This window comes from Homo sapiens, chromosome X, assembly GCF_000001405.40.
Source record: "Homo sapiens chromosome X, GRCh38.p14 Primary Assembly".
Taxonomy (NCBI): Eukaryota; Metazoa; Chordata; class Mammalia; order Primates; family Hominidae; genus Homo; species Homo sapiens.
Window position 1 is genome coordinate 107,354,424 of NC_000023.11, and position 11,034 is coordinate 107,365,457.

General features: G+C 44.8%; 2 annotated features.

Moving 5' to 3' along the window:
- Positions 677-1,612: an enhancer, noted in NCBI's record as "OCT4-NANOG hESC enhancer chrX:106598330-106599265 (GRCh37/hg19 assembly coordinates)". NCBI's record gives its function as "activates a minimal SCP1, AML or CMV promoter by ChIP-STARR-seq in naive H9 embryonic stem cells {active_cell/tissue: H9 hESC(naive)}" and the evidence as "EXISTENCE:reporter gene assay evidence [ECO:0000049][PMID:30033119]".
- Positions 10,119-10,747: an enhancer, noted in NCBI's record as "OCT4-NANOG-H3K27ac-H3K4me1 hESC enhancer chrX:106607772-106608400 (GRCh37/hg19 assembly coordinates)". NCBI's record gives its function as "activates a minimal SCP1, AML or CMV promoter by ChIP-STARR-seq in naive H9 embryonic stem cells {active_cell/tissue: H9 hESC(naive)}" and the evidence as "EXISTENCE:reporter gene assay evidence [ECO:0000049][PMID:30033119]".

Genomic DNA, 11,034 nt, shown 5'->3' on the forward strand with positions numbered 1-11,034 from the left:
AATATTTTCTCCTCAAGTACACACGTGACTCATATCCTCACTTCATTCAGGTCTGTGCCCTCCAGAAGACCTTCCTAGACCATGCTGCCTAAAACAGCAACCCCACTCTATTACTTTCTATCTTATTTACCTGCTCTATTTTTTTTATAATGCTCATGAGATTATATTATACATTAATTATTTGTTTGCAATCTATTTCAAGCTTCATATAGACAAAAATGTTGCCTATTTTATTCATTTCTATATTCTTGGCTCCTAGAACAGTGTTTGGCACATCATAAGAACTCAACAAATATTTGTTAAATGAACAAATGATATGTGAATAGGGCTCAACATGGCAGCCTAAACTGTACTCTCCCAAAGATTCATATTCATCTTGTGTGTATCTGGAGGGTCTAGGAGGCAGGTCCACTAGGGAACTATTTGTTTAGGAGCCTAAGGGGCCTCTCAGGAAAGATACATACTAATGGAAGAAAGAATAGCCATATAAGGAGGGTCCTCCTAGACCTCAGGATTGAAAGAGAGAGAAAATTTTCAATATAGCTCTCATGTTGTAATTAATCAGGACATTTAAAAATAATTAGTAACAGAAACTGAATCCAACCCAGCTTTTGAAAAAAAAGGCACTATATTGGTGCAAAAGGCTAGGAAGGAGAGTGGAATGCTCAAAGGAACCAAGCCTAGGGATTCAACGTTGTCAGAACTGTGTCCGTATTTTATCTCTGCTTGCCTCTGCATCTCCTTTCCCATTTGTCTCACTCTCTTGATGTAGACTGGTCTTCTCCATATTGCAGGAAACACAGCTGCCGTCAGCTACAGCTTAGCAAAGAAAATTTCTACCTCCCAGAGTCCATTCATCTATCCCAGGGAACAATTCTGATTGGCTTTCCTTGGTAATGTGCCTATAATTTGGTCCAATCACTGTCACTAGGAGAATGGATACTCTGTGTTTGTCCAGGTCTACTTCACGTGCTTACCCTTAAGGTCAGGAGTAGAGTCTATCATGAACAGAAGGGGAGAGAGAAAGCCTGCTGGGAAGACCAAAAACAAACAAATAAAACAAAACAATACCTACCAGAGGACACTATCCTGCTTATCTTCTGATTCACCTCCCAGATCTCATACTAAGTCCTAAGCAGAGAGAGCTTTGTAAGAATAAGTACCAATTTAAAGGACTATTTCACTAAAATCTCTGTGGGGCATTGAGTACACAAAGCCACATCAGAAGCATTGGTTTTAGTAGTTTCAGTTGGGTAGGCGGCAGCTTGTGACAGCAGCAGCAGCAGCAGCCACCTCATTGTATGGATGGTTTTGTTATGGGCATTAGAAGAGGATTATCACCCCAGGGAGCTAGAAAAGGAACAGAGGAAATGCTGGAAGCCACTGGGGAGGCAAAGGGGTTTTGTTAATGAACCTTGGGACAGACCTCTGGGAGACTTGCAGAAATAGTTGGGTTGGTGGAAGACTTTGAAGAGGGGCCAATACAGGCAGGGGCAGAAACAGAGAAATTTCTATGCGAGATTATGTTGTGAACTCGATTTTATTTTCAGCCTGTTTCCCAGCTCACAAGGACATCCACCGGCCACAGAAGTGCAAGGAACAGGGACAGTAAATTACCCAGTGATGCCCGGTCCCCTAGACGGCTAGCACTGTGCTGAAGTCACAGAAAGCTATGAGACTCTGACTCTCTCGGGAAGCTGGAAAACAGGGCAGAAAGCAGATTGGTACCAGTTCTAGGTTCCACTGATACAGGCTGGCTGGCTATGATGTGGCTGCACCTAGCTGTTCTGATTCAGGAGACACTTTTCCCACTCTGATTTTCTCTCCACCTATTTCCCTCTTCCTGGCTTGAAGCCCAGCCAGAGACCAACACCACTATTAGAATGGGCTTCTCCTGACACTGCCTTCTGCCTGGCTTGGACCTCTGCAGCCTCACTCTTGCCTATCTTTTCAGACTCCAGACCTTGTCTGTGTCCTCCAGTTTGGCTTTACACCCTGGATTCAGACCTTGGTTTCCCCCTCATAACGCACTTTTACTAGCTCCCTGGTCATTCGTTCTAGCTTCCCTATTTGCCTGCTGGCCCAGCCTGCCTGTGAGTCCTGGCATGTGTTGTTTGGCAGCCACCCATGACCTAGCATTGACAGCACCATTCCACCTTACTCCTCTTGTCACTTGAATTGCTTTCTCTACCCACCCTTAGAATATAAAGATGCTGCTCACGTTGATACATAATGTCTTCATATTTCAGCAGCTTGTCTGGCTGAAGGAACCTTCATAACCTCCTCTGACAATCCATTCCACTGTCTAGTCACCATGATAGTCAAAGTTCTTCCTTCTGTCATACCATTTAGTAGAAGCCTGAGTGCTACTGAACAATAATCATTCTAAATGTCACCCACCCGGGAGAGATGAGAACAATGATCCTCAGAGTATGCACTGCTTGGGATGTGCCCAGAATGTAGAAACACCTGTTTGGAATGGAACCAGTGATCCCCTGAACATATGTCACTGATAGGCCCAGGGATCTATAAGAGTCACTCCCAGAGCTTATTGGAGTAAAGTGTGGAACCAGTGGGGTGACTCTGTGGTTCCTGGCTCTTGAGGAAGAAACTCTTAAACTGAAGGTAGAGAAAGGCAACCTCCTGTGGCTGGATGGAGGCAGTGAGATTGCCCAGTTCACGCAGTTTGTAAATGCCCAGTCTAGTGCCAGGCAAAACAAATTCCCATTTATTCATTTTTCCTTCTCTCCATCTTGACTGTCACTGTCCCCCTGCCCAAATCCAGGCCACCCAACTCTTCCTGCTTAGATTACTGCAATAGCTCCTAACTGATTTCTGTGACATCACTCTTGCTCCCTTCTATTCTATTTTCCCCACAGCAGTGAGGAAAGATCACAGAGTAATCTTTTACAAATGTAAATTAGATCATGTCACTCTCCTGCTTAAAACCCTTCAAAAGCTCTTCATTCCACTTAGAATAAAATCCAAACTCCTTACCATGGCTTATAAGGTTCTACAGGATCTGGCCTCTGCCCACCTCTTAGACCTTTCTGGTCTACCTTGCTTTCTATGCTCCTGACACATTGAATTTATTTCATTCCCTCCTACATGCTGATCTCTTCCTTTTCTGGAGTGTCTTTCTTTACACGTGTGGTTTCCTCTGCCTGGAATACCCTTTCCTAGGCTTTTCTCAAGGCTGGATCCTTCTCAGTTTTTAGTTCTCAGCTAAAATGTCACCTCCTTTAGAGAGGCTTTCCCTGCCCACACTTGCTAAAGAAGTTCTCTCCAATCTTGTTTAATTCCTTCTTTGGCACTAGTCACAATTACAATTGGTTGATATGTCTATTATTCATTCAATTTTGATCTTCTTTACAAGAAAGTAAGTTCCAAGACGTCAATGTCATGCTATCCCCAGCCCTATCACAGTACTTGGCACATAATAGGCATTTAATAAATATATGCTGAACTAATGTTTTTAATAGTAAGTACTGAATATATATTTCTTGAGTGAATGGGTAAAAAGTAGAAGGGATCCCATAGACATAACAAAGAAAATAAAGGAATATTCTCAACAACTCTATGCCCACAAATTTGATAACTTAGGTGAGATGGACCAGTTTCTTAAAAGACACATCTACATTTTTCCTTACACAGGGAAAAACAGGTAATCTGAGTAGGTCTACATCTGTTAAAGAAACAGAATCAATAAGTAATAACTTTCCAAAACAGAAAGCACTAGAACCCGATGGGCTCACTGGCAAATTCTACCAAATACTTTAGGATGAAATCATACCAATTCTCAACAATCTATTCTGGAAAACAGAAGCAGAAGAAACTTCCTAATTCATTCTATGAGGCCAGCATTACCCTAATATTAAATCCATACAAAGACATTACAAGAAAGGAAAACTACAGACCAACATTTCTCATGAATATAGATGCAAAAATTCTCAATAAAATATTAGCATATCCAATCCAACAATGTATAAAAACAATAAGCTATGAGCAAGTGGGATTTATTCCAGGTATACAAGGCTGGTTTAATATTCAAGAATCAATTAGTGTAATCTATCACATCAACAAGCAAAAGAAGAAAAATTATATGATCATATTAATAAATGCAGAAAAAGGATTTGACAAAATCCAATGACCATTCATGATAAAGACACCCAGAAAACTAGGAATAGAGGGGAAATTACTCAACTTGCTAAAGGACATCTACAAAAACAGGGAAGAAGTGAAGAAGGAGAGGGAGGGAGGACTGGAAGACTGGAGGGACAGAGGGAGAGAAGGAAGGAGGGAAGGAGTGAGGAAGGAAGGAAGAAGGGAGAGAGGGGAGGGAGGGAAGACAAAAAGAAGGAAGGAAGGAAGGAAGGAAAGTAAGGAGAACAATTAATGAAGAAGCAGAAGTCATTTTACAGCTGACTTTGGTGGAGTAGATACATTCCATTAAAGTGTGGCATAATTGAATGTCTCTGGATTCATAGACCCTTTTATCCCATTGGAAAAGAGATGGCTAGCACATTCACACTGCAGTTTTAGTGACTGATACTATGTGTTCGCCCCATCAGAGCTATTTATAATTACCTAGGGATTCTTGGAGTCATGTGTTAGGAAGAAATCAGACTTGTGTGAGAATTCCAGGCACTAGTGAGTGCTGGGGCCAGTGGGGAAAATTTCCCCCAGGCTGTGTGTTCAATCTCGTCTTCTAAGCCACAGGAAACTGAGGAACAATAGAAAGAGGAAAATGGACAAGCTCCAATTCAAGAGTTTCTATTTTTGTGCTTAATTGGTATATTTCTGAAAGATGGCTTAGGAGGGAGATAAGCTGTGTGGGCCAGATAGGAGAGAATAAGACCTAGTTCTAGTCTCACAGCCCTCACATAGTTGGCATTATTTTCAGCCAGAGTCATGGTTGTAGGCTGAGGCAATGGCAGAGGTTAGATGGGAAAGTGTCCTTAGTCCCTCATTATTTCCATTGGCTTTTCCCTCCCCACTCTTTAACATGCACAAATGAAGTTTTAATGTTAAGCATAAACAAAAGCAGCTTTAGAAAACATCATGCTGAGTAAAAACCTTTGCTTGCTTTGCCAACACAGCCTCAAAGCAAAATCCCTACTTCCTCCCCCTTCAACCAAAGGGTTCCCCACAAACCCCAGGGTTCCCCACAAACCCCATTTATATAGACATTATGAAGCTGTCACAGGCAGGAAAGAGCCAACTTCATTGACTCCAAGGGAAGAAAGTTGTCCCTAGAGTGGCTTGTGAGGGTGGGAGGGGGGAGAGGGGAGAGGGAGGGTAGTGGTAATTGCCCTACTCCCTAGTGGACTTGGTGTGGTTCATTCTTTACTCAGCAGAAACTATAGTCTGAATTTCCCTCATTATTAAATTTTACACAGCAGGGACCTCTCCTGTGCCCCAAGATGTCCAGGATCTTCTCAGAGCAACCTGTGAAAAGTGCTGGCAAGATCTCAGTTCTTCCCCGAAAGCAAAGTGTGACTGAAACCAAGGCTCACTGTGTGCTGAGTTACTTGCAAGGGTTGCAGACCCAGATTTGTTCCAACGCCGGTGGTGTGGAATCTGGAATCAATTTTTTTTTATTTTTAAATTTTATTTATTTATTTATTATTTATTTTTGAGACGGAGTCTCGTTCTGTTACCCAGGCTGGAGTGCAGTGACACGATCTTAGCTCACTGCAACCTCCACCTCCCAGATACAAGTGATTCTTGTGCCTCAGCCTCCCTAGTAGCTGGGATTACAGGTGTGCATCATTATGCTCGGCTAATTTTTATATTTTTAGTAGAGACAGGATTTCACCATGTTGGCCTGGCTGGTCTCAAACTCTTGACCTCAGGTGATCCACCCGCCTTGATCTCCCAAAGTGCTGGGATTACAAGCGTGAGCCACTGTGCCCAGCCAATATTTTTTTTAAAGTGTGGTTAAAGGAGTAGCATCCTCAACAACACTTGGAATGCTTGTTAAAAACCCAAATTCCTGAATTCTACCCCAGACCTAGTGAGTCTGAGTGGGAGTGGTGGTGAGGGACCAGGAATCTGCATATAAAACAAGCTCCCCACGTGATTCTGATGTCCAGTCAAGTTTGAGGAACACTCTGGGAGTGGAGGATAAACTGTGTGCTTTTAAGGGCCCTGAGGACAGGGATCCAAACTGGTCAGGCTGAGGCCATCAACTCTAAGGCTAGGCCTGTCTATAGCAGTCAGAGGGTTGCTTAATGCCCTAAAACAACTGAATTGTCCTTTATTTCTAAAACTTGCCCTTTTTTGACTGTCAGGAGATGAAATATTCCCCCCTCTGAGTTTGATCAGGTACTATACCACCTCTGCCAACAGTTGGCACTCTATCTGCACACCCTACCCAGTTCAGACTGGGTTTTGTTTTGTTTTTCTCTCTCTCTCTCTCCAAGCAAAATCTTGGTGCACCTCCCAACTGGTCAGGGTCCCTTCTCCTGCAGAGGCCCCCTCCTGCTGTATGTCAGTAGGAGGCCCAATTCTGGAACTTGCTCTGTGGGACTGCACTGGGGAGAATTTGTTGTAAAGCTCCTGCAGGGGCTGATCCCTCCCCACCCTTGCCATCCAGACCCCAGGGGAGGGCATGTCAGTGTTAGAAGACATAGTCCTAGTTTCTCTCAGATTTTGAAGTCTGTAAAGTGGTGTGGACTCCCTCAGGCTATAAGACAAGTTTATAAATATAAGATGTTATCTCACTGTTAAACAGTACTACAATTGGGTTTTATTTGAACAAATGAATCAGCTTTCTTCACGCTACTGGAAGTTCTCAAACGAGGTGCCAAACTTCATTTTTAGTGCCTGTTGAATAAACAGCACACTCAGCTGCCTTTCTCCTAGCAGAAACTTTCAGCTTTGCAATTCCAGTCACCTCTCAATTCTGGTGGACCCTAGGTAGCCAAAAGCAGTCAGCCTCCTTTTTCTACCTGACAGAGTGACAGCTCTGGCCCAGGGATTTCATTTCCAGTTCATAGGCCCACAGGCAGCTTCAGGTTGGCATAGTCCTAAGTCATTCTGATAGAAACATCAGAGCATAACAGATGCTTCCTGGATTAGCTTCACAGTTTCTTTAACCCACCACTCTTTTCTGTAATCGTCAGGACTACCATGTAGGGTCGGGCAGGTTGGTCAATGCATGACATCCAGCTGAGGAAATGAGGGTAATTCTAATGTGTAATTTTAATGTGTTGGTCAGCTGTTTCCCTGATGAAGGGGTCTCTAGGTGTGTCTCATAAGAGGACCAGGCTGCCTTTGATAGCTCAACCTCCATGGCAAGATAATGTGGTGGAGGGGAAGTAGAGACCCACTCTGACGTAAAATACCTGTGCAACCCGAGTAGTCCTCTCATTCACATCTCCAGGCCTCCACTTCCTCATCTGGAAATGGGGGAGTTGGAGTAGCTGATTTTTGAGGAGTGCTCCTGAGATGCACAACTCCAGGGGGCACCATTTACATTGTCCCTGAATGAACGTGAGGTGTAAACTGCCTCCATGGCCCCAATTAGATGATGGCAGAGCTAATTGTTCCCCCTTTTGATGTGTCTAAGCCAAATGCTGTCCTTCTCTTCAGGGTCTCTCTCACATCTGAGGCCAGTTGGCCCAGCTCTCCATCTTCTTGGTACACAGTACTCATCCCTTCCACACCTTCATTTTATATCCATTGTGCTATACATAAACTCTTAATATTCTCACTTATTTATTTTCCTTATTAGACTGATTTCTTCCAAGAGAGCCTCCGCTAGAATATAGAATAGGCTTTTTTTTTTTTTTTTTTTTTTTTGACAGAGTCTCACTCTGTCGCCCAGGCCGGAGAGCAGTGGCACAATCTCAACTCACTGCAACCTTCATCTCCCAGGCTCAAGTGATTCTCATGCCTCAGCCTCCTGAGTAGCTGGGATTATAAGCGTGCACCACCACACCCGACTAATGTTTTTGTATTTTCAGTAGAGATGGGGTTTTGCCGTGTTGCCAGGCTAATCTTGAACTCCTGGCCTCAAGTGATCCATCTATGTTGGCCTCCCAAAGTATTGGGATTACAGGCCTGAGCCACTGCGCCTGGCCAGGCTCCTTTTACTACCCATCTTTGCATGTTAGCCCCACTGCCCGTCCACCAAGTCCCCCACACCTGGAGTCAATGTGGCTTCTTTAGCCAATTAGAGGCTTTTAAGTGTGTTTGGTCCCCGCTTCCCTCTCTTAAAATTTAACTTTGAAGAAAAAGGTTGGGGTGGGGGTTACCTGGGAGACCACTAGAAATCACCCATTTCCCATCTAGTCTCCCCTTCGGCTCTAAGAGGTCCTGTATTGATACCCCCTCACTACAGAGGTAGAGGGGTGGAGGGGAAGAGATTAGCTGATATCTAATATCTCTTCTGTTTCTGGCTTCCCATGAAAACATCCTCGTTGCCCTTAGTAACCAGCGATGCATAAATTTATGAAAGCATCTAACCCTTTTAAAAAGGTATTTATACATACTTTCAGCTTATACTAACTCTTGAGGATAATGAATTCCATACATTATTTGTTTCCTGTTGCATAAAATCACATTGATTTGTGTTTCCCTAAACATACCTCTTTCAAAACCTCAAGTGAGCTCTGAAAGAGTCTCCGAGATTTAGTGACCACATCTACACTCACTATCTCTATAGGCCTTCCCCAGCTCTAATCTCCCTGCATACAGAGATCTGGGGCAGACGTTCTTTGTATAAGAGGAGGAATAGGTCTTCCTGAAGAAATTCAATATTTGGTTGACTGCCTTGACCACAGTGCTAAGTGGCTTAACTGGCTTTTAAAAAAATCCTCAAAAAAAAAAAATCCTCTATGGAAGATTGCTTATTTCAACCTTTTGCAGTCATCCCTCCCCAATTTCTTCCCTCTTAGCTAGTGTTGAAGTGGGTTTTGAAAAGGAGGAAATATACCCCAAACAATTTAAACAGCCCTCATAGATCTTGAAGATCCTTTCAATATCTATATTTCTTCCTTCCAAGATCTATAGTTTCTCCTATATCTTGAAAGGTTCTTTGGCTGCATTCCAAGAACACTCAATTCTTAGGGAGGTGGTGTTTTCACCTGAGAACCTAGAGAAGCATGTAGCCTAGGGGATAATGACAAGATCATCCACTGTGTTAGTCCATTTTGCATTGCTGTAAAGGAATATCTGAGACTGGGTAATTTATAAAGAAAAGAGGTAGATTTGGCTTACGGTTCTGCAGGCTGTACAAGCATGGTGCTAGCATCTTTTCAGCTTCTGTTGGGCCTCAGGAAGCTTTTACTCATGGCAGAAGGTGAAAGGGAGCCAGAATGTCACCTGGTGAGAGGGGGAGCAAGAGAGAGAAAAGCGAGGAGGTGCCAGGCTCTCTTAAACAACCAGATCTGGTGTGAGCTAATAGAGTGAGTATTCACTCACTACTGCTAGGACAGCACCAAGCCATTCATGAGGGATTTGCCCCCATGACACTAACACCTCCCACTAGGCTCCCCTCCAACATTGGAAGTCACATTTCAACATGAGATTTGGACGGAAAAATACTACCAAACCATATTATCCACCATCCAGAAAAGATTCCTCATTAGAACATGTGCAGTTGGGGGCCGGGCACAGTGGCTCACACCTGTAATCCCAGTACTTTGGGAGGCTGAGGCAAGCAGATCACTTGAGGTCAGGAGTTCGAGACCAGCCTGGCCAATATGGGGAAGCACTGTCTCTACTAAAAATACAAAAATTAGCCAGGAATGGTGGCATACTCCTGTAATCCCAGCTACTTGGGAGGCTGAGGCAGGAGAATTGCTTGAACCCAGGAGGTGGAAGTTGCAGTGAGCCAAGATTGTGCCACTGCGTTCCAGCCTGGGCAAAAGAGCAAAACTCCATCTCAAAAAAAAAAAAAATAGGAGAGGAGGAGCCAAGATGGCCGAATAGGAACAGCTCCGGTCTACAGCTCCCAGCGTGAGCGACGCAGAAGACGGGTGATTTCTGCATTTCCATCTGAGGTACCGGGTTCATCTCACTAGGGAGTGCCAGACAGTGGGCGCAGGTCAGTGGGTGCGCGCACCATGTGCGAGCCGAAGCAGGGCGAGGCATTGCCTCACTCGGGAAGCGCAAGGGGTCAGGGAGTTCCCTTTCCGAGTCAAAGAAAGGGGTGACGGACGCACCTGGAAAATCGGGTCACTCCCACCCGAATACTGTGCTTTTCCGACCGGCTTAAAAAACGGCGTACCACGAGATTATATCCAGCACCTGGCTCGGAGGGTCCTACGCCCACGGCATCTCGCTGATTGCTAGCACAGCAGTCTGAGATCAAACTGCAAGGTGGCAGCCAGGCTGGGGGAGGGGCGCCCGCCATTGCCCAGGCTTGATTAGGTAAACAAAGCAGCCGGGAAGCTCCAACTGGGTGGAGCCCACCACAGCTCAAGGAGGCCTGCCTGCCTCTGTAGGCTCCACCTCTGGGGGCAGGGCACAGACAAACAAAAAGACAGCAGTAACCTCTGCAGACTTAAATGTCCCTGTCTGACAGCTTTGAAGAGAGCAGTGGTTCTCCCAGCACGCAGCTGGAGATCTGAGAACAGGCAGACTGCCTCCTCAAGTGGGTCCCTGACCCCTGACCCCCGAGCAGCCTAACTGGGAGGCACACCCCCCAGCAGGGGCACACTGACACCTCACACGGCAGGGTATTCCAACAGACCTGCAGCTGAGGGTCCTGTCTGTTAGAAGGAAAACTAACAAACAGAAAGGACATCCACACCAAAAACCCATCTGTACATCACCATCATCAAAGACCAAAAGTAGATAAAACCACAAAGATGGGGAAAAAACAGAACAGAAAAACTGGAAACTCTAAAACGCAGAGCGCCTCTCCTCCTCCAAAGGAACACAGTTCCTCACCAGCAACGGAACAAAGCTGGATGGAGAATGACTTTGACGAGCTGAGAGAGGAAGGCTTCAGACGATCAAATTACTCTGAGCTACGGGAGGACATTCAAACCAAAGGCAAAGAAGTTGAAAACTTTGAAAAAA